Raw genomic sequence first — 24,495 nt, forward strand, 5'->3', positions numbered from 1 at the left:
GGAAATACAAAAACTGTAATAGAAATAAAAATATACACAGATAATCTTAATATTGTAAAAACATAATAAAGCACAAAAAAATAACAAAGCCTGGAAACCATATTTTAAGGAAATAGAGTTTGATATCCTTAGTGTTTTAACTTTCTTAAAGCATACACAGCAGAGTGTTATCAAAGCATTGTTTACCACACATGATTTCTCCTAGTTATTTTTGCTATGATTGGGCTTCAAAAATGCATTCTCATCGACCTTCAGATATTTAAGGATATTTGGAGAAAAGTTGAGACCATGTTTTTTGCCACCTACTTTTTTCCCGCAGGGCGGCTCTCAGTTTGTACAAAATTAGTACCAGGAGTTCTTTTATGGAGATTCTTTTCTAAATGGTCCTTCAGTTACAACATTTGTGAGCTGGAATACTATGCCACATTAGTCTCAGTTTCTCAGTGCCTGAAATAATTATGTGTGGTGAAAAATTAATATCTAAAATGTCATATCTATTAAATAGTATAAACATACAACAAACTCTATTAGGTAGAATCAATTTTTCTAAGAATCTCTATAATTTATTTATCAAATTTCAAAGGGAAGACTATTCAAACCTACAATTTATTTCATATGTATATTAGTCTGTTCTCGCACTGCTGTAAAGAAATACCAGAGACTGGGTAATTTATGTAGAAAAGAGGTTTAATTGGCTCATAGTTCTGCAGGCCAGCTTCTGCTTAGCTTCTGGGAAGATCTCAGGAAACTTATAATCATGGCACGTGAGTGAAGGGGAAGCAAGCTTGTCTTATATGGCTGGATCAGGAGGAAGAGAGAGAGGGAGGTGCTACACACTTTTAAACAACTGGAATTCATATGATTTCACTCACTATACAGTATCAAGAGGGGACGGTGCTAAGCAATTCATGAAAACTCTGCCACCATGATCCATACCTCCCACCAGGCTCCACCTCCAACACTGAGGATTATAATTTGACATGAGATTTGGGTGAGGATACATTTCTAAACCTTATCAATATGATAATTATCTAGCCTCATTTATTTTTGGCTTATATGGTCACATTTGCACTGGGACTGCCTAACTGATACATTTCTGTTTAAATAAAAAATAAAACCTGTGTATATTTTCTGATTTCTTAGCAATTGGTGTTGTGGGGAAATTCTGTTAGGGGTGGGCTTGTTTCAGTGGGAAGATAGACTGAGCTGTGTCATTTAAAGTCTCTACATTTGATTAGCTAATGACTGTATTTCAAAATATGCTGTGTTTTAAAATGTAGAACTCAAGTGTGAAAAGGTAAGTTCTGATGAATGACAAGTTACTCTTAGTAACATAAAAATGGATCAAAATTAATGCTGAAAACAATCAGGAAATTTTACCTTTCATCTGGGATTTACCTGGCAGTTTGTTCTTATCTGCATGTAAATGCAAAATTCACCAGACTTACTGTGAAATAATTTATGGAAAGTTTCAAATGGATTTTAATGGAAAACTGATCCACAAGAAAAATTATAGAAATATCAATAGCAATGCCCAGTGTCCTGGGTATCTAAAGAGGAGAGTTAATATTCTGCCCATACTACTCAAAAGCAGATGACAGTGGTCCTCACATTCATGATTTAAGAGAAGTACAATGGCACATCGGCCAACTGTGCCAACATATGGTTTCTAATTGCAAATATGGTCTATGATAGGGGAAAAATAGGCTGTTCTTAATTGCTTCAGAGGGAAAGTAGAATTTTTATGCAGCATCAGGGAACTGGATATGTGGATTGGGAGAGAAAGATCCCATGTATTGTAAGAAAATGAAAACTGGACATGTAGCCACAGAGATGAATTTGAGATGGAAACTTTTGTTTCTATGTTCATAATAATTAGCCCTTTTATATTTTACAACATTTAAGTTGTTCAAAGTTAAGCCCTTCCATGAGAGTTCAGCACAAAGTCTTCATGAAGAAGTAAAACCATACTCTCAGTTCCCCCTGGGTTTGCCCTCTGGTTCAAAGAGGGAAGTTGGACAGGAGTTAAATTGAAGTAATAAATATTTTGCTCCTTTACTCTGAATTAGCTTCAAAATCAGTCTGTCCCCTGTATCTCTATCTGTTGTGCTATGGCTGAAAGTAGGGTTAGGAACCACTTTCAGAAGAATCAGTTAGCGTAGGACTTGAATCTCCAATTTTCCCTAGCAATGCACAGTGTCTGCCCATCTCTGCCCAGATAGTACCTGAAATTAGAGTAGACTTCACTAGTGGAAGGAATAGGATTTATTCCAATTTGTGTGGAAGGAGAACTCATAAGGATTTAGGAAGTGGCATCTATTGATTGTCTGTCTTCATTCAGTTTGAGATTTTCCTGGTTCTTAGTGTGTCAAGTGATTTTCGATGGAAACTTGGACATTTTTGTATTATGTTATGTGACTCTAGATCTTGTTTGAAACCTTTGGTTTTAACTGGCTTTGTCTGACACCTCTATAGCAGGGGAAGCAGTGGGTGCCGCCTTGTCACCCCGACATGGAGGTAAAAATCCCATTTCTCCACCTGTCCTCTGTTGACATGCTGTGTATGTGTGTGGGGTGTCCTTGTTACTGTTGGGCACAGGTAGAATTTCCAGATCCCCATGTGGTCTCCCTTGATACCACAGTTGGGGTGGTCTTGTTCCCAGTGTGCAATGATTTGGCCACCTCTGTATTAGGGGGAAGGGGAGAGATACCCAGTTATTGCTGGGTAGGGCTGGATGTCACGGCTTCCTACATGGTCTCCACTGACACTGTGGAAGATGCTTCATTATCAGCCACCAGGCATAAAGGTGCTAGTTTCCTGCTTGGTCTTCTCTGACACCACTCTAGTAGGGGTATTAGGGGTCCTTTTCAGAGCCTCATGAGGGTGGAAATCTAGTAACTCCATTCAGCCTTTGCTGGCATGCATGGTCACAGGTTCTTCTATGGTGCTCGGCTGTAGTAGAGCAGTTATTGTCTAAAAGTTTCTTATGTTGCTACTCTGCCCCTTTCCTGGTTATGTGGCTAGAGAGTGCAGACGTTTGTGGTCTGTGCCCATTGGTGTTTCTGGGTTGCTGGCTTCCATGCTTGTTGGCCTTTCGAGGTTTCTTACTTCTTCAGCTACGAGTCTGGGATATTTGAGGCAAAAAGAAAACCCAGGAATCTCACCACCGTGTTGTTTCTTGGGTTCTGAGGTCCCAGGCTTGTCTACCTTCCCTTGGCCTTACAGAATTTTCTTACATTTTTATGTAACACCCGTGGTTGTTTTTTTTAGTTGTATTTAGCCAGAGGAATAAGAAAAAGTTAAGTTTGGGCTGCGTGTGGTGGCTCACGCCTGTAATCCCAGCAGTTTGGGAGGCTGAGGCGGGTGGATCACTTGAGGTCAGGAGTTCAAGACCAGCCTGGGCAACATGGTGAAACCCCGTCTCTACTAAAAATACAAAAATTAGCCAGGCCTGGTGGCATGTGCCTGTAGTCAGTCCCAGCTGCTTGGGAGGCTGAGGCAGGAGAATTGCTTGAACCAAGGAGGCGGTGGTTGCAGTGAGCTGAGATCGCGCCACTGCACTCCAGCCTGGGCGACAGAGCAAGACTCTATCTCAAAAAGAAAAAGTAAGTCTGTTTCATCTTCTTGGAAGCAGAAGTCCTTGCTCTTCAATTTTTGTTTTTATTTGTTTTACTATGACCAATATTATATTAAGAAAGTTGTTAAAAATACAGAGAAGATAAAAGAATTGGTATCACGCCTCATATGCGTATCTACCAGCTGGATTCAACACTTAACATTTTGCTATATTTTACTTTATTGCACTTTTATCCATCTGCCTTTTCCATCTATCTATCCAGTTATTATTTTTGACGGACATCAGTACACTTCACCTCTAAACACTTCAGCATACATGTCATTAATTAGACTTCACTGTCAGTTTACGGTTTTTTAAAGGTAAATTTTACAAAAGTGAAATGCAAAAAATTGTAAATACCATTTGATGAGTTTTGGGTAATCCAACCATCGTTGAGATAATTTCCATCACCGCTATACGTTCCCTCAAGTTTCTTCTCAGGTTATTTCTGCCTCCAAGAAAAAACTACTGTTTTGATTTTTTCTTTTTTGCCATAATTTCAAGTGCTATTTTATTGATGGAATAATATTATAGTTCATCCCTTCTGGCCTGCTTCCAGTTCTTTGCCATTAAAATTTGATAGTTGGTGTAACATAAGTCATTGCTATCTTCTGTCAGCCTAGAACACAGTGCAAGCAAGGCAACTTAAGATTTTGTGCATTTCTTCTGATTAATAAAATAGTGAAGACATACAAAGACATGTTTTTATCACACACAGTACCCAAATTTTCCACATATTTCTTGTTGTTAGTGTAGTTATCAGTTTCTTTGAAGCTCAAAACCTTTTTTGTAATAGAAGCAAAAGATAGTTTTAGCCTTGTAAAAATAGAATTTAGCTTCCTGGCACCAAATTTTATTTTGTGAATGAGAAACCATGATTTTAACTACACCATAACTGTAATATTCATTACTGAGAATGTCAGACTAGTCTCTGGAGGAACAGCCTATTTCACAAATACTTAGAATACTCTATTCCTGTACAAAATATTGATGGGGTTGTTGCAGATGGATTCAGCTGTGTTGCACAGACACTCATTTGTCTGGCCCCATCTATAATGTAAGTCTCTTGCTTCTAGTCTGTTTCCCCAGAATGATTTTCTAAGTGGGCTGTAATTTCTGATTGACTGATTGATATGAGGGAAGTCCTACCAGCTGTGAAATGGGACAAATAAACTTTATGTGAGATTCCAATTAGAGTGGACGTGCTTACCGTTAACAGCCCAGGGACCAATTGATGATGTGGTTTTATTACAACCTTTTTTACAACCTTTCTCTGTCTATATCTTTCTTTATACAGTTGACGGACTGGACAAAGCTTCTATAGCAAACTCAGATGGCCCCACAGCAGGTTCCCAAACACCTCCCTTCAAAAGAAAGGGGAAACTATCCACCATTGGTAAAATCTTTAAGCCTTGGAAATGGAGGAAAAAGAAGACCAGCGACAAATTTAGAGAAACCTCGGCAGGTATGAGTATCATAACTTGTTAGAAGATGGGATAAATTGTAAAACGTTTTAAAAGGTAGAAAATTATGTTTTACAGTGTGTTTTTTCCCAGAAAAAAATTAATCCGTATTTGAAATGAAATTCTTTATTTTAAGAATAAAATAAGGATGAAACAACTTAAGAGTTCTGATTTGCCTTCTTTCTATACTGACCTTGACTTTCTAATATATTCTTATTTAAAAATATATATTTGTAAATTTATATAAAAAATGGATTGGTGAGGCGAGGGAGTGAAATAGTAGAAAATGATAAGTGGAAATGCTATTCATCAACATTGTGATGACAGGTATCCATTTTTATATACACATGATGTTATATATTTAGTTAGACTATACTATTTATATTAATATATAAATATTTAACGATTTAACTAGTAGACTATACTGCTATACACATAACGTAATGTTAACGGTCTTGTTCGTTAATTAAAACTTTTTTAAAAATGTATTTTTTGATGTATTTATTCTTTAGGAAAGATTTTAGTGGCTATATGAAAGAAAAGTTTTGTTATATTTGATTTTAGATTTCTATCATATCCTTAGGACAAATAAATGGTCTCTGTCTTAAGAGAGTAGAGGCACAACCCTATTGGTGTGAAAATGTTTGATTGTTAATTTAGTTTGTAGATTTGTGAAACCTTAAAAGTTACATTGCTTAGTGCCTTTCATATCAACTCGTGGACAAAGCTGGCTTTAAATCTCAGGCCAGAATTCAGCCCAATTTAAACAAGTGTTAGTGTGAGTGTATTGTGTCTAAGATAGAAAAGTGTTTAGTAAGTTCAACGTTCCCCATGCTTACTGTCCAAGGCAATCCCTTCATCAAAATTCCTCACTGCACCACAGTCTAATATTGTTAGTGGATGTACAGGGTCACAGAGCATATCTTATTGGTCTGTACTAAGATAAGAACCAGAGTTTTGTTCTAGAGCTGTGAAATGAAATTAAAAATACTACACACAATGCAAGGATATGGAATAGGAGCATCAAAGCTCCCCAAAAAAGTGGTCTCGGATGCATTTGCAGCTATATAGTTTATTTGAGCATTTTATATTTAACAAGAAATAATGATAGGCTACCTGGAATTTGTTTCAAAATAATCCTGGAGGAGTGTGAGGTAGGTAAGATTATAGATAAAGGAAGACTGGCAATGGGTTGTTCAAGCTGGGCAATGGGTCCATGGTGGTTATTATTCTCATTTCTCTGCTTATAGATATTGGAAAATTTCTGTAATAAAAAGATAGAGAAAGAAGAGAAACTTGGCTTAAGGGAAAATAATGCTAGTTTGGTTATTGGGTCCTCTTCAGCACCTAAGTGGCTTTCTGGGTTAGGAGGCAGTGAGAGGTGAGGGACAGGGTGCTGTGCTGTGTGAGGACACCCGGCTGGGTGACTTTGAACAGGTCAGATCAGCCTCAGTTTTCTCGCCTGCAAAATCGGGTAGTTGAATGTGCTAAACTCGGAGGTGCTTCAGTTCCTGATTCTGTTGTTGGTCTCCAGAGACACCCTTACACCCTTGACTCCTTCCAGTCCCTGGCTGGGCATCTTGTTCTCCTCTGTTTTTTGGTTGTGGAAGGAACCTCACTGGCCTTCTTCAAGTGCCTCCCTCTCACATGTGCTTAAGCATTGGGAGAATCTGGCTCTTCACGTTACCAAGACTACCCAAGATGGGAGCAGGGCTCCAGACGTAACGTACGAAAACGAACATAAGATACAAAATGGTGTATCATACATTAGTTTTTTTCACATTGGAGAAAGATGTCATATCTAGAGGAAAACTGATATATTCAGTTGGTGCAAAAGTAGTTGCGATTTTTGCCATTACTTTTAGTGGCAAAAAACCGCAATTACTTTTGCACAAAACTAATATTTGGATATAACCAAGAGAAAGTTATTTTCTTCTTTAAAAAATTATCTCAAGCAGTGGAATCAAGCTGTTTGGATATGATCAGGGCCATTTGCTGTCTGATAATCAATGAAGTACACCTTAGGCCAGACCCACAACATCTTGAGGTATAAAAGAAAGTTCATTTCTTCCAAGAAAAGTAACTCTTCTACGTTTGTCCTTCTCTTAAACTCCTGGGTTGGTATTCACATGGATATGAACCTTATTGTGTTCTGCCGCACAGCGATAAATACCACTTTTCCTGGTATGGGTTTCTGTTATAGGAATTCTTAATTGGTAGTAGATAGGATGTAACACTAATTTATTAATGCATTGTAATAGCATGTTTATTATTGTAGTGGGAGTTAAGAAGGGTCCCATTCGTGGCCAGTTTTGGTGGTCCTTGAATCAGTTGTATTTTGGAGTGCTCATTCTACGTCTAAAGGACATCTTGCCCTATAAGGCAGGCTGGGCTTATGCCCCAGCTTCCAGTTCTCTGGCCTTGTTTTAAAGCAGAAAGTTTCCAATATCTTCAACTCTGATTTAGGCTGTTCAGTGTCTGGCTGTTAGATTCTAGGGCAGGAGAATAGATCTCTTTTCCGTCCACTTCTCTCAGATACCCCCCTTCATTTCTTTTCTTCTCCTGCATGAGAGGTCCCACGTAAGCTCTAGGTTCTTCTATCCCTTCCCTATTGTTAGAACTCAAAATGGCATTTACATCTTTTTTTCCCCTACATAATCATTTTTTCCCATTTTGCTTTGATTTGATTTGATTTGGTGGGAGGTGAGGATATAAACATCCTTCCTTTGGATTTTTATATATGCTTGTATCTCCCCAAAGCTAAGAGTACAAATGCCCTGCCTAAATAAACACAGTTGTTTCTCTAACTTATCACAGTGTATTACCATCAAAACCAAACTTACTGAAAATCTAACCTATCTCTGCTGCCTCTACTTTCTTTCTTCCCACATTCTCATTCCTTTTCCCACTGCAATCTATCTCTGTGTCCTGTATTCACCGAGGTTACTCCAAGCCTCCGAACCATTAAATTTAGTGTCGTTCTCTTATTTTCATTCATTTCAACCTCTACAACATTTTCCATTACTGAACAGTCAGTCCTGCCTTAATGTCCAAAATACCTCTTCCTTAATTTACAAAAGCTACCATTGTCTTGTTTGTCTTTGACTTCTCTTTCTCTCTTTTGCCTTTTCTCTTCTTCTTCTCATCACCCCTAACCCCCAGCAGGAAGGTTGCTATGTGCCTTAGCCCTTCTGTTGCTTTGAATATGCACTTCTTTCCTATACCCACATCCCTCAAACTGGCCCAGGCTCCAGCTGATGCCCATGCACATCTACCCAAGCACCTGATGGGTAGCACTATTTGAGGACAGCATGTTAACTCAAAATCCATTCATATGGTCTAAATGTATTTCTGTGGAAAACATGCTAGTTGCTAGGCACTGTTCTGGAAGCTGGTGTTCTGCAGCCAATAAGCAAGTGAGGTTCCTGCCCTCATGGAGCTTTCATTCTAGACAGGTAGGGTACTAATAAATGCTATGATGGACACAGGGAGTGAAGGAAGAGGGAGTGGAAAAGTACTATCTATAAATGCATTCCAACCAAAACAGATCCCCTGCCAACCCCAGCTATCCTTGTTACTGTAGACATGGCTTCCTTTGGCATCCAGACTTTGAACCACGGAGTTCTTTGACTCTTCTTTCTCTCACCATCTTCTACATTCTATCAGTTCCTAAAACGTTTGATTTATTTTCTCCTCACGCAGAGTCTTTAACATCAGCCTATCCTGTCAATTCCTGTTGTCTAGTCCTATCACCTAATGTCTCAATTAGTGCAACGTAGCTTTTTTGCTATGCTTATTTGTAGCTAGCTATAGAAATCTGTAGGCCACTAGAGAAGACAGGAAGAGGTAGGGTTCTAGCAGCAAGCTTACCTACGAGGGGAACCTGACCTAGCTGGTGAGGCTGACAGGGGAGGTTTGGGATGTCACAGGCTGTCAGGAAGCCGAGTGACCAAGATAATGACTTTACAAGTATCAAGCCTGGCAAATAGAGCAATGAGTACTTCACTACAAAATGGCACAAGTTCCAACAGGTAGGGTAAATCTCAGAGCATCCAGGTGAGCAGTATTAGAAAATTCAGGCAGTCCTCAGTAACCAGGGTATTCTTTTCTCAGGTAGGAGTATTTAGGTGGGGCAGATGGTGTCTGTTATGGGAATCAGAAAGACTTGAACAGGGCCTTGGTCACCCAGGCTGGTGTGCAGTGGTGCTATCACAGCTCACTGCAGCCTCAATCTCCTGGCTTCAAGAAATCCTCCCGCCTCAGCCTCCCAAGCAGCTGGGACCACAGGCACACGCCACGATGCCCAGTTAATTTTTGTACTTTTCTGCTGTACTTTTAGTAGAGATGGGGTTTCACCATGTTGCCCAGGTTGGTCTCAAACTCCCGGGCTCAAGCAATCTGCCCACCTCAGCTTACTGAAGTGCTGAGAGTACAGGCGTGAGCCACCTCACTCAGTCTATGGCCTTATCCTTTTTTAAAGAACAAGGGAATAGAGCTGATAAGTAGGACAGGAACTTACCAAAGGACTCAGGACAGAAACTTGCTATATAAAGTGGAACACAGGGAATGGATTTGGAAGAGGAGTCTCCCAAGATCCTAAGCCTGTGGTGCTGGAGCTACTGTTGCTAGAAATGACATAGCCCAAGAGCTGGGTGAGCAGGGAGAGGAGGGCTTGCTCTGGTCAGCAGCAGTGGCCCAACATGTGTGGATCTGGGGACATAGGTGGGCAGAGCACCCGTCTCCCCTCTTGCCCCTCCATATCCTCTTGGATAACCACCATCAGGAAACATTCCTCAGATGGGACTTTGCTCCTGTCACTTCTTGCTCAAAAAGTGTGACTGGGTCTGCATTGCTTCTTCAGTGAAACCCAGACTCCTCAGCTCTTCTCAGTTTAACCCAAACTGACCTTATCTTTTCTATTCGTCCATAGCTCTTGGACTTCAGTCATGCTGGGTCACTGGCTCAGCATGCCCCAAGCCTTCTTGGTCCCTTGGCTTTTCTTCTTGCTCTCTCCTGTTCCTATGAGCACCTCCTTCCTCCAGCTATACCTATTGAAATACTACCAATCATTCAAGGGTCAGTAACATGTCTCTTCCTCCTGCAGATATTCTTGACTTTGATTCAGCACCAGCTGATCCTCCTTTGCCTGTACTCCTGTTAGGACATGTTTATTTTAACTTGTTTTCTTGTTTAAGTGTCTGTCTTATGCTCCTAATTTACTACGTAAAGTATTTAAGGGCAGAGACTATCACATTCACTTTTGCTGCACTTCACATAGGTTCTTTATGTAATAACATACATGGGATGTAATAAAAAAAACATGCCTTGAATTGCTTCTTTATTAAATACCCACTGTAACCAAAAATGCAGTACTGGGTGCTTTAGGACTTTTTTTTTTTTTGGTGGGGGAAGGGGGTCTCATTCTGTTCCCCCAGGCTGGAGTGCAGTGGCACAATCACAACTCACTGCATCCTCAACCTCCCTAGGCTCAGATGATCCTCCCACCTGAGCCTCCCAAATAGCCGAGACTACAGGCACACACCACCACACTCGGCTAATTTTTGTGTTTTTTGTAGAGACAGGGTTTCACTGTGTTGCCGGGCTGTTCTCAAACTCCTGGGCTCAAACAATTCATCCTCCTTGGCTTCTCAAAGTGCTGGGATTACAGGCATGAACCATCATACCCTGCCTATGCTTTGGGACTTTATAAAAGAAATTGAAGATTTTAAAAATTATAACAAATTAAAATACTAACAAAACATGTACTTCACAATTACAGCCATGTACCACTGTTAAGAAGCCAATAAAATTGGAAAAAAATATTTTCCTATCTTTTGTCCTTATTTAAAAGTAAGTTATACTCCTGTATAAAGAAAATCAAGGCAACTTATCTTCAATAAAATGGAGACTTTTATTTGTGTTGGTGGTAATAGAAAAAGAATGCCTGTCTAGATTTTTAGGTAGCATTCTAGGAATCAGATCTTTGATTTTCTGAAGGTACTGTGTACTCCCTAATAGTAATAATAATGGCTAATTTTTATTGAATGCTGTTAGGTACCAGGTTCTGCTCCAAGAACTTGATTCATATTAACTCACTAAATCATCAGTACAACCTCATGAACTGCAATCTTTAAGGGCTACTATTATCCCAGTTCTACTGATGAGGAGACTGGGGCTAGAACATTCAGATGACTTGCCCAAGAAAACACACCTGGCAGTAGGCAAAGGCAATATTTGAACCTAAGCAATGAGGTCCCATAGCCAGTACTTTCGACCATTCACTAGTTGCATCTCTAAAAGGTGTCTTCCTACCCACATCAGAAAGGACTGATCACTGAAAGGTGGCTCTAATATATGGTTTTGCCTCACACATTAGTTTTTGCTGTAAGAAGGATTTTGTCTGAAGAATTACTTTATTTCTACTTGACTGGCCTGCTTTCCTCAGTGCACATGTAGAAAAATGGTTGGCAAGGATCAAAGTTATGTTTGGTCCTATTAAAGGATAATATTCTCTTGTAACCATAGAGACCTAATGTTGCTATTTAGGATTATTTTCCACATCTAGAAAGTAGGGCGAAGTTAAAGGATTTGCTTAAGGTGATATTTGTTAAGGATTGCTCTGGTTGCATTAATAAATGACAGCATTTTGATTTTGCTTGTCTTATTCCACTAAGAAGTTGGAAAGTTGGAAGTGTTTTTTTTTTTTTTTTTTTTTTTTGGAGACAGAGTCTCGCTCTGTCATCCAAGCTGGAGTGCAGTGGTATGATCTCGGCTCACTGCAACCTCTGCCTCCTGAGTTCAAGTGATTCTCCTGCCTCAGCCTCCTGAGTAGCAGGGACTACAGGCGTGTGCCATTACGCCCAGCTAATTTTTGTATTTTTAATAGAGACAGGGTTTCACCATGTTAGCCAGGCTGGTCTTGAACTCCTGACCTCAGGTGATCCACCTGCCTCGGCCTCCTAAAGTCCTGGGATTACAGGCGTGAGCAACCGTGCCTGGCCTAGAAGTGCTTTTATTTATCATTCACCCTCACATCATATTGGAGGAAGAGGAAGGAATCTTTCCTTTTTCCTAATTTACTGTATCAGGGAGAAGTTACGTAACCAGCCAAAGGCCACACAGCACATCTAGATCCACAGAGGGCTTCTTGCTTTGTGTTCGACACTTCTTTTTTTTTTTTTTTTTTTTTGAGACAGAGTCTCACTCTCGCCCAGGCTGGAGTGCAATGGCGTAATCTCACTCACTGCAACCTCCACCTCCCAGGTTCAAGCAATTCTCCTGCCTCAGCCTCCTGAGTAGCTGGGATTATAGGCATGCACCACCACACCCAGCTAATTTTTGTATTTTTAGTAGAGACAGGGTTTCACCATGTTAGCCAGGCTGGTCTTGAACTCCTGACCTCAGGTGATCCACCTGCCTCGGCCTCCTAAAGTCCTGGGATTACAGGCGTGAGCAACCGTGCCTGGCCTAGAAGTGCTTTTATTTATCATTCACCCTCACATCATATTGGAGGAAGAGGAAGGAATCTTTCCTTTTTCCCAATTTACTGTGTCAGGGAGAAGTTACGTAACCAGCCAAAGGCCACACAGCACATCTAGATCCACAGAGGGCTTCTTGCTTTGTGTTCGACACTTTTTTTTTTTTTTTTTTTGAGACAGAGTCTCACTCTCGCCCAGGCTGGAGTGCAATGGCGTAATCTCACTCACTGCAACCTCCACCTCCCAGGTTCAAGCAATTCTCCTGCCTCAGCCTTCTGAGTAGCTGGGATTATAGGCATGCACCACCACACCCAGCTAATTTTTATATTTTTAGTAGAGACGGGGTTTCAACGTGTTGGCCAGGCTGGTCTCAAACTCCTGACCTCAGGTGATTCACCCACCTAAGCCTCCCAAAGTCCTGGGATTATAAGTGTGCGCCACTGTGCCCAGCCAAGTGTTCGACACTTCTTTGTCCTCAGCAAGTGTTTACTGACCATCTTCATCTATTGTATGTGATACATACAATATGTCAGGAACTGTTACAGGCTCTAGGGATACTCTCATAGATTTTAGTGACATAAAAGAGACAATCTTCCTTCTTGCAAAAACTTGCATTCTAGTAGGAGAAGGAAGCAGAAAATAAACCCAAATAAGTTAGATACTGTACTAGAAAGTGAGAAGAGAAAATTAAAGCAAGGAATTGGAGTAGAGAATATGGGAGGGAGGTTACAGTTTCAAATCGGGAAATGTTCCTGGGAAGGTAACATTGAAGGAAAGGCAGGAAGGAGGGAAGGGAAAGCACTGAGAGAATCCTGGGAAGTCATCACAGAGTTAGCAATAGCATGCACTTTCAGTAATGGTGTGGACACATTGTGATTCTAGGCCTTTACAAATTTTGTCTGATAATGTAACCATTAAAATGCCTCACATTCACGAACCTCATGGTTGTTAATCTTTTTGTTGTTGAGACAGGATCTCACTGTGTTACCCAAGCTGGAGTGGAGTGCAATGGAGTGATCATGGCTCACTGAAGGCTTGACCGCCTGGGCTCAAGCAATCCTCCCACCTCAAGTCCCCTGAGTCATTGGGACCACAGGCATGGACCACCATGCCTGGCTAATTTTTGTGTTATTTGTGGAGACGAGATCTCGCTATGTTGCCCAGGCTGGTCTCAAACTCCTGATCTCAGGTGATTCTCCCACCCTGGCCTCCCAAAGTATTGGGATTACAGGCGTGAGCCACTGCACCTGCCTTGGTTGTCAATCTTGATATCTACTGCAGCTCCATGGCTCCTAACAAATTATGGAACTTCATTCTATACAATTTTACCAGAAGAGGAGCAGGGTTTAACTCTATAATATAAGCATTTTGTTATGGCTTTCTTTCTTCAACTCAAATTCGCAAGGCAGATTCTGACCCACCATCAAACCAAAAGTCAGAAAGCCAACCTCATGGAGTTCCAGTTTAGAATGGCGCATATGTTGGTGTTTTCTGGTGGACACAGTATCAAGTCCTATTGAGACTGCCTTTCTAAGTTGAAATAATAATGCATTATTGCCTCTGTCTTAAGCAATCCTTAACTTACAGACTGGTGGTGTCTCTGGTACTGCATTTTTAGATTATTTGGAATTATGGGTATGCTCCCAAACTAATTTACAAAATTGAGTTTAACCCATAATACGCCTGAAGCCTGGGACTATTAATATTTATTCAAATACAGCCAAACACTATTTATTGTTACTATAGTAAAACACTTTCATAATTTTCAATTGAAATTAAGAATTTTTGAGTTGTAAAGGATCTTAGCCATCTAGTTCTCTCTCTAGGGCAGGAATCAACCCTGTCTCCAGCAGCCCTGATAACATGCAGTCATTGAGCTTCTCCCTGAATTCCTTATTCCCAGCTCTAATTGTTGAGGAGGTTTCCTTTTGTGTTGGCCTGAAACAAATTATCTCCAGTCTTTCTAACTATCTTCTGATGTGTGTGTGTGTGTGTGTCTGTGTGTGTGTGTGTGTATCTCCTAATTACATTGTTACATGATCATCCTTCCATCTTTTCTTTAAGTTTGTTCATCCCTTTATCTATTGTCAGTTTCAGAGTTTCTCACCACAGGAGTGTACTAGATTGTCTAGGTCACTCAGTTTTTATGGAGTTCCTGGCCCAGTGCAGGTGTGTGCTAGGGACATGGTCATAAACAAGCCTGACCAGTTCCCTGTGCTCATGGAGTCCACAGGGTGCCTGTGCATCTGGCAGTACCTCATGTGTTCTTTCTTAGCTATTTTTAATCCTAAGCTAACATGGTGACTTTTCCAAAAGTTCTTATTATTTCTACTTCACCAACCACATTTTCAGTATTTAGAATTAAGTCTAGAATAGAATTTCATCTTACTTAAAGAGGAATTTACCAGTAAGAATTAAGCATCTTGTAAATGTCTAGGGAGCTGGAAGTTCCCATGAAAACTCTCTATCACTTTTCTGCTTATTTAATGTTCTCTTTGTGGAAAATATCACCCAGAGCCTCCTAACAGGGTGATCTGTTTTATTTTTTTATAACAATATATTTTCTGTTCTTTCTCTGTACCCTCATGTGGATATATGTACATATCATATCCACATTTCTTGGATGCTAGTTTCTCCGAAAGCACTAGAAGTCTCTGGCATTGGTTTTTTTTTCTATTCTGGCCACTGTCCTCCATGATATCTGGTTTTATACCATTTTGTGGGTGTTTTCTTCTCTCTTGAATTCAACTTTAAGATTCTCTTCAATAGGCCAATTTGGTGAGCATCTTCTTGGCATGTCATTTTTTTCTTAAATTTTTTTATTTTTAATGAATGCATAATTTTCGTACATATTTTGGGGTATATGTGATATTTTTATATAAGCATACAATGTGTAATGTTTAAATCAAGGTAATTGAGATATACATCACCTCAAACATTTATCGTTTCTTTTTGTTAGAAATAGTCCAGTTCCACTCTTTTAGTTATTTTGAGATATACAATATTGTTAGCTATAGTCACCCCATTGTGCTACTGAACACTAGATCTATTCTTTCTATCTAACTGTACATTTGTACCCCTTAACCATCCCTCCTCCCCACTACCCTTCCCAGCTTCTGGTAACTGTCGTTCTACTCTATCTCCATGAGTTCAGTTTTTTTGTTTTAGCTCCCACATATGAGTGAGAACATGCAACATTTGTCTTTCTGTACCTGGCTTATTTTACTTAACATAATGTCCTTCAGTTCCATCCGTGTTGCTACAAATGACAGAATTTTATTCTTTTTTATGGCTGAATAGTATTCCATTATGGTGGAATAATATTCCATTGTGTATATGTACTACATTTTCTTTACCCATTCATCTGTTGATGGACACTTAGGTTGATTCTATGTCTTGGCTGTTGTGAACAGTCTGGCATCTCATTCCTATTTTCATGTAATGAACCACATGTCTTGTCAGGCTATTGTAGGACTGTTATGGTCCAGAAAGTCAGATCTTGTCTTCGACACCATCAGTTGAAATGGCTTTTCCCATTTCTTTATCCACTCTTTTCATATGTCATGATCTCTAGCCAGAAGAGAAGAGAACCACATCTCACCTTCCACGCCTTCCTGTTTTCCACTCAGGACTTCTGACTAGCTAGACCATCCAGATGGCTTCTGAGGAAGACAATTATTCTTATTTTTAAAAATCAGTAGAGGAGGGTTTGAGGAGTTTTGATGTGCCCTCTTTCATGTCCTAAGAAACACATTGCAAGAAGACAGCGTTCCTTCTGATTAGCCAGGCAGGTCTATGCAAGGCTGTCATCTCTAGCACTGGCACCTCATCAAGAGCTCCTCAGTGACCACTTTTGACTTTTCCTGCTGGGTCTCATGAATCCTCCTTGTCATCCATTCATACAGCAAATATTCACTGAGCTTCTACCCTATGCCCAGATTCTGTTCTAGAGAAACAAGCTCATGAAGCTGCTATTCCAGGGAAGAAATACCAGGGAAGGGTGTTGTGGGGAAAATCAGAGTATACGTGGAGATCGAGAATAGCGGTCAGTGAGAGAAGCAAGACACTGGGTCGGAGTCTCTGGTACACCACCCTTCTCTATCTTACCTACTGCTCCATGCCAGATCTACACAGCACATCAATTCTCCCTCTCCTGTGTGTTATCTTTTTTCTCCTATTAACTCTTGACAGGACATCTTGGTTTTGTCAAGAGGTTGATCTCTTGGTTCCTATTTTTTCCTCAAAACATTTCTTTTTGTGTGGCTTTCTTAACTGTATAATTCTTCCGTTTTTTTCTTTTTTCTTTTTTTCTTTTTTTTTTGAGACAGAGTCTTGCTGTGTCTCCCAGACTGGAGTGCAGTGACATGATCTCAGCTCACTGCAGCCTCTGCCTCCCAGGTTCAAGCGATTGTCCTGCCTCAGCCTCCCGAGTACCTGGGATTACACGTGTGTGAGACCCCACTTGGCTAATTTTTGTTTGTTTGTTGTTGTTTTGAGATGGAGTCTCACTCTGTCACCCAGGCTGGACTGTAGTGGCACGATCTCGGCTCACCGCAAGCTCCGCCTCCTTCATGCCATTCTCTTGCCTCAGCCTCCCGAGTAGGTGGGACCACAGGTTCCCGCCACCACGCCTGGCTAATTTTTTTGTATTTTTAGTAGAGACGGGGTTTCACTGTGTTAGCCAGGATGGTCTCGATCTCCCGAACTCGTGATCCACCCGCCTCAGCCTCCCAAAGTGCTGGGATTACAGGCATGAGCCACCGCGCCCAGCCTAATTCTTTCATTTTTTTCTAGAAAACATTCACCTTTTCCAGACTAGAGCAAAGGATGATGCGACCCAACTTCTTTCACCTTCCCTTTTAGTGGGAAAGCTGGTTTATATTTATAGATTGCCTCTTGGTGGCTCCTCTCCAAGGAAGAAAAATAGAGGTCCCAGCCCCGAGTTTCTACACAGTCCCAGACCATGGGGTGTCAGGGTTACCTTTGGTTGTTTTTGGCAGCCCCTCTTGGAAACATTTCCTGTAAATAGCCCCTCAACAAACTGGGCCTTTAAAAATGGGGCTTTTTTGTTGAGCCCTGGTTTGTGCCAGCTATGTCAATCCCTTGACCTTTCAGAAAACACAAGTAGCTTTTTGACTTTTCCAAAATGTTTTCCTGCCTTGCCTCTCTCTTTGGTTGTGGCCATGGGCCAATGAGCCTATAGTTCACTGGAAAATGTATGTATTCATTCTGACAGCTCCAGTGTGGACTCCTGAGATTCTTCTTAGAAATAGCTGTGGTGTGGCATATGCTGGAGGCAGATGTACAAAGGTACCATGAACAAGTTCACTTTCTATGGCGAATATGTGATCATGACCTTCTCCAAAGAGGTTATCTCTTGGTCATTCACCATGTGGGTGTTTCCTCTTTGTTTTATATGTGTCTGTGTATATGTGTGTATAGTGCTAAGAATTTTAATATACGTATAGTTTTGCATAATCGCTACCACAGTCAGGATATATCAGAGTTCTGTCACTCCCCAAATCTCCTTTGTGCTGTCTTTTTTTTTTTTTTTTTTTTTTTTTTTGAGGCGAAGTCTCTCTCTGTCACCCAGGCTGGAGTGCAGTGGCGTGATCTCGGCAAGCTCCGCCTCCTGGGTTCATGACATTCTCCTGCCTCAGCCTCCCGAGTAGCTGGGACTACAGGCGCCCGCCACCATACCCGGCTAATTTTTTGTATTTTTAGTAGAGACGGGGTTTCACCATGTTAGCCAGGATGGTCTCGATCTCCTGACCTCGTGATCCGCCCACTTCAGCCTCCCAAAGTGCTGGGATTACAGGCGTGAGCCACCGCGCCCGGCCTGTGCTGTCTTTTTATAGTCACGCCTTCCCAACCCCTAACTTCTGGCAACTACTGGTCTGTTCTTCTTCACCATAGTTTTGTTGTTTCAAGAATGTCATAGGCTGGGCAGGTGGATCACGAGGTCAAGAGATCAAGACCATCCTGGCCAATATGGTGAAACCCCGTCTCTACGAAAAATACAAAAAATTAGCTGGGCATCGCCTGTAATCCCAGCTACTGGGAGGCTGAGGCAGGACAATCACTTGAACCCGGGAGGCAGAGCTTGCAGTGAGCCGAGACTGAGCCACTGCACACCAGCCTGGCAATAGAGACTCTGTCTCAAAAAAAAAAAAAAAAGAATGTCATATAAATGGAATCATTCAGTGTGAAATCTTTGGAGACTGGTTTCTTCCACTTTGCAGAGTGACTCACGAGAGCTTCCTCCAGGTTGTTGCATGTATTCATCATTCCATTTTTTGTTGAATAGTATTTCATGGAATAGATGTACCACAGTTTATCCATACATGAAAGACACATGGGTTGTTTCTAGTTTGGGGTAATTATAAATAAAGTTGCTATAAACATTCTTGTGTACATTCTTGTGTGAGCAAAAGTTTTCATTTCTTTAGGGAAAATGTGTAGGAATGGGATCTTGGGGTCATATGTTAAATGTGTGTTTAACTTTATAAGCAAATGCCAAACAGTTTTCCAGAGTTTTGCATTCCTGCAAGTAGCAGAGAAAAGTTTCAGTTGCTCCACATCCTTGTCAACACTTGGTATTGTCATTATTTTTTGTTGTTAAGGTAAAAACATTTGTCATAAAATTCACTATCTTAACCATTTTTAAACGTGCAGCTCAGTAGTGTTCAATATATTTACATTGTTCTATGAATAGATCTCCGGAACTTTTTCATCCTGCAGAACTGAAACTCTACATCTATTAGCCAACTTCCTTTTTGCCCCCCCAGTAACCCACCATTCTACTTTCTATCACTATGAATTTGACTACTTTAGATCCCTCATATAAGTGGACTCAGATAGTATTTTTTTGTGACTAGTTTATTTCACCTAGCATAATGTCCTCAAGTTTCCTCCATGCTGTAGCATGTGACAAGATTTCCTTTTTTCAAAGACTGTGTAGTATACTACATTGTTTAAATCCATTCATTGGTCAGTGGACATTTGGGCTGCATCCATCTCTTGGCTATTGTGGATACTGCTGCTCTGAACATAGGTGTGCTGTAATTAGTTTTATGTTAACCATTCTAGTAGGTATGTAGTGGTATTTTGTCATGGTTTTAATTTCCCTAATGGGCTAATGATGTTGAACTTTTTTATTGATACATAATATTTGTGTATATTTATAGGATACATGTGATATTTTGTTCCATTCATATACTGGGTCATGATCAGGTCAGGGTATTTAGGATATCCATCACCTCAAACATGTATCATTTCTACCATTGGGGACATTTCAAATCCTCTTTTCTAGCTGTTTTGTAATATACAATACATTGTTGCAATTGCAGTCACCCTACTGTGCTATTAAACATTAGAACTTATTTATTTGATGTAACTGTATGTTTGTACCCATTAATCTGCCTCTCTTTATCCCTTCCCCCACTGACACCCACACACCCTTCCCAGCCTCTCGTAACTGTCATTCTACTCTCTACCTCTATCAGATCAACTGTTTTAAACTCCCACCTATGAGTAAGAACATGTATTTGTCTTCCTGTGCCTGGATTATTTTACTTAACATAATTTCCTCCAGTTGTATCTATGTTGCTGCAAATGACAGGATTTTATTCTTTTTTTTTTATGGCCAAACAGCATTCCATTGTGTGTACATAATCATATTTTCTTTATCCATTCATCTTTGATGGACACTTAGGTTGATTCCATATCTTGGCTATTGTTAACAGTGCTACAATAAACATGGGCATGCAGGTATCCTTTTGATATACTGAGTTCCATTTTTGTGGGGGTGAGTACCTGGTAGCGGGATTGCTGGATCATATGGTGGCTCTATTTTTAGTTTTTTTGAGAAACCTCCATACTGTTTTCTGTAATGGCTGTACTAATGTACATTCTTACCAACACCGTGTAAGAGTTCCCATTTCTTTGAATCCTCACCAACATCTGTCATTTTTTGTCTTTTTGATAATAGCCATGCTAACTGAAGTAAGATATATCATTGTGGTTTTGATTTGCATTTCCCTGATGATTAGTGGTTTTTTCATATACCTGTTTGCCATTTGTATGTGTTTTTGAGAAATATCTATTCATATCTTTTGCCCACATTTTAATGGGATTATTTGGTGTTTTGTTGTTGAGTTATTTGAGTTCCCTGTACATACCTCAACATATTAAAGCCCTTATATGACAAACCAACAGCTAACATAATGCTGAATGGGGAAAAGTTAAAAGCCTTTCCTCTAAGAACTGGAACAAGACAAGGATGCCCACTTTCACCTCTCCTATTGAACTGGAAGTCCTAGCCAGAGCAATTAGGCAAGAGAAAGAAATAAAAGGCATCCAGAATGGAAAAGAGAAAGACAAACTGCAGATGACATGATTTTATATCTAGAAACTCTTAGATCTGATAAACAAATTCAGTAAAGTTACAAGATACAAAATCAACATAAAAATCAGTGGTGACTCTTTTCTTTCTTTCATTCTTTCTTTCGTTCATTCGTTCTTTTGTTCTTCTTTCTTTCCTTTTTTTTTTTCTTTCTTTTTTTTTTTTTTTTTTTGAGACAGGGTCTTACTCTGTCACTTAGGCTGGAGTGCTGCATAGATGCTTACTGCAGCATCTACCTACAGGGCTTAGGTGATCCTCCCACCTCAGCCTCCCGAGTAGCTGGGACTACAGGCGCACACCACCACACCTGGCTAGTTTTTTATATTTTTTTGTGGAGACAGGGTTTCACCATGTTGCCCAGGCTGGTTTCAAACTCCTGGGCTCAAGTGATCCACCAGCCTCATGAGATTTTTCACAGACGTAGAAAAATTTGTATGGAACTAAAAAAGAGCCCAAACAGCCAAAGCAATCCTGAGCAAAAAGAAGAAAGCTGGAAGCATCATAGTACCTGACTTCAAAATATATTACAAGTCTATAGTAACCAAAACAGCATGGTATTTGTATAAAAACAGACACATAGACCAATGGAATAGAATAGAGAACCCAGAAATAAAACTACACATTTACAGCCAACTGATTTTTGATAAAGGTGCCAAGAATATAGATTAGGGAAAGAACATCCTCTTCAATAAATGGTGCTGGAAAAAGTGAATATCTAAACACAAAAGAATGAAAATAGACACCTATGTCTCACAGTATATAAAAATCAACGCAAAATGGATTAAAGACTTAAACAGAAGACCTAAAACTATGAAACTACTAGAAGAAAACATAGGAGAAACACTCTAGAACATCAGTCTAGGCAAAGATTTTATGTCTAAGACCTCAAAAGTATAGGCAACAAAACAAAAAAGCACAAATTTGACTATATTAAACTATTAATAAAAAGTTTCTGCTCAGCAAAGGAAGCAGTCAACAGAGTGAAGAGACAATCTGTGGAATGGGAGAAAATATTTGCAAAATATTCATCCAACAATGAACTTCTTTTCATGTACGCATCTGCCATCCATATATCCTCTTTGATGAAGTTTCTATTCAGGTCTTTTGCCTGTTTTTTAATTGGGTTATTTGTTTTCTTACTATTGAATTTTGAGATTTCTTTATATATTCTAGATACAAGCTCTTTGTTGTATATGTGATTTGCAAATATTTTCTCCCACTCTGTAGATTGTCTTTTCATTCTTATAACAGTACCTTTTGCAGAGGAAAAATTTTTAATTTTAATGAAATCCACCGTATCAGCTTCTTTTAAAATAGATCATGCTTTTGGTCTCCTGTCATGCCTAATCTCAGGTCACAAAGATTTTTATCCTATGTTTTCTTCTAAATGTTTTTATAGTTTTATGTTTTACATTTAGATCTATGATCAGTTTTAGGATCATTTTTATGCAAGGGGTGAGGTTTGGGTCAAGGCTGGTTTTTTGCATGTAAATGTCTAGTTATTTCAATATCATTTGTTGAAAAGATCATCCTTTTTCTATTAAGTTGCCTTTGTACTGTTTTAAAAATCAATAAGCATATATTGTTCTTCCACATATTCTCTTTGGTAAAAGTCTTTTGTCCAATTTTTACTGAGTAGTTTGTTTTCTTAATGTTCAGTTTGAGAGTATTATATCTTCTAGGTTCAATGCCTTTGTCAGATATGTTACTTGGTGATATTTTCTGCCAGGCTCTAGTAGCTTGTCTTTCCATTCTTTAACAGTGTCTTTTAAGAGCAAAGGCTCTTAATTTTGATGAAATACCATTTTTTTTCTCTTTTCAGATCATGCTTTTGGTGTCATGTGTAAGAAATTTCAACAGCATTTGTTGAAACGACTATTACCTTTGCACCTTTGTTCAAAAATTGATTGGCAACATATATGTGGTCTATTTCTGGACTCACTATTTTATTCTCTTAATCTGTGTCTATTCTTTCACCAATATCACACTATCTTGATTATTATAGCTTTATAAGTCTGAAAATTAGGTAGTGTGATTTTCCAACCTTATTCTTCATTTAAAATTGTTTTAACTAATCTAGTTTGTTTGGCTTTCATTTAAATTTTAGAACCAACTTGTTTTTATTGTTGAAAAATTACTGCTGGGGTACTTTTTTTTGGCTAGGATTTTTATTTAAACTGCATTAAATCTATGCTGCAGTTTGGGTAGAACTGATACCTATACCATATTGAACTTTCTAATTTATGAACTGGTATGCCTCTCCATTTGATTAGCTTTTCCATTTTTTTATTAGCTTTTGAAGTTTTTAGAAAACAGTTAATAAGTTTATACTTCAGTATTTGTTTTCTTTATTTTTTAGCTACTGTAAATTATATATATTTTTAAATGTCAATTTCCAGTTGTTCCTTGTATCATGCTACCTTATTAAACTCACTTATCAGTTCTAGTAGTTCTAGTGAAAATACCTTAGGATTTTCTACATGGACAATTATGTCATCTGTGAATGGGAATCATTTTATTTCTTCCATTCTAACCTGCATGTTTTTTATTTTTTCTTCCCTTTTTTCACCAGCTAGGACTTGTACTACAATAGTAAACAGCAGTGTTGAAGGAGATATCCATGCTTTGTTCCTATTCTTAGGGGGAAAGCATTCATTAAGTATGATGTTGGTGTAAGATTTTTTGTGTGTGTTTGTTTGTTTGAGACGGAGTCTTGCTCTGTGGCCCAGGCTGGAGTGCAGTGGCGCGATCTCGGCTCACTGTAACCTCCGCCTCTTGGGTTCAAGCGATTCTCCTGCTTCAGCCTCCTGAGTAGCTGGGACTACAGGCACGTGCCACTGCACCTGGCTAATTTTTGTATTTTTAGTAGAGACGGGGTTTCACTATGTTGGCCCCAGGCTGGTCTGGAATTCCTGACAACATGATCCGCCTGCCTCAGCCTTCAAAAGTGCTGAGATTACAGGCGTGAGCCACCACGTCCAGCCCAGTTGAAGGTTTTTATACATGCCCTTTATTAGGTTGAGGAAGTTCCTTTTTGTTCCTGACTTTCTAAGAGTATTTATTATGAATAGATATTGGATTTCTCAAACGCATTTTTCTGGATCAATTGATATGGTCATTTCAGTTTTTTTCTTTAGACCACTATTATGGTTGATTACATTGGCAGATTTTTGAATTTTGAACCAGTTTTTGCATCCTTAGGATAAGTCCCACTGTGTTGTTTTGTTTTGTTTTGTTTTTTGAGACGGAGTTTCGCTCTTGTTGCCCAGGCTGGAGTGCAATGGCACGGTCTTGGCTCACAGCAACCTCCGCCTCCCAGGTTCAAGTGATTCTCCTGCCTCAGCCTCCGGAGTAGCTGGGATTATAGGCATGAGCCACCACGCCCGGCTAATTCTGTATTTTTAGTAGAGATTGGGTTTCTCCATGTTGGTCAGGCTGGTCTCGAACTCTGGACCTCAGGTGATCTGCCCGCCTCGGCCTCCCAAAGTGCTGGGATTACAGGCATGAGCTACGGCGCCCAGCCAGCCCCACTGT

At 39.8% G+C, this 24,495-nt stretch overlaps 1 protein-coding gene across 8 annotated transcripts in view; it reads left to right on the plus strand.

Annotated features, from left to right (window-relative positions):
* Positions 1-24,495, plus strand: part of PHACTR2 (phosphatase and actin regulator 2) — a 294,308-nt gene that overhangs the window by 170,225 nt on the left and 99,588 nt on the right. For all 8 annotated transcript variants that reach the window (NR_172204.1, NR_172205.1, NM_001394736.1 and 5 more), the window contains exon 2: positions 4,914-5,081. Coding sequence is in view for 6 of the 8 variants with exons in the window: in NM_001394736.1 (NP_001381665.1) it covers positions 4,914-5,081 (168 nt within the window). In the remaining 2 variants the exon portion in view is untranslated. The remainder of the gene's footprint in view (positions 1-4,913; positions 5,082-24,495) is intronic.

Source organism: Homo sapiens, chromosome 6 (assembly GCF_000001405.40).
Source record: "Homo sapiens chromosome 6, GRCh38.p14 Primary Assembly".
Lineage (NCBI taxonomy): Eukaryota > Metazoa > Chordata > Mammalia > Primates > Hominidae > Homo > Homo sapiens.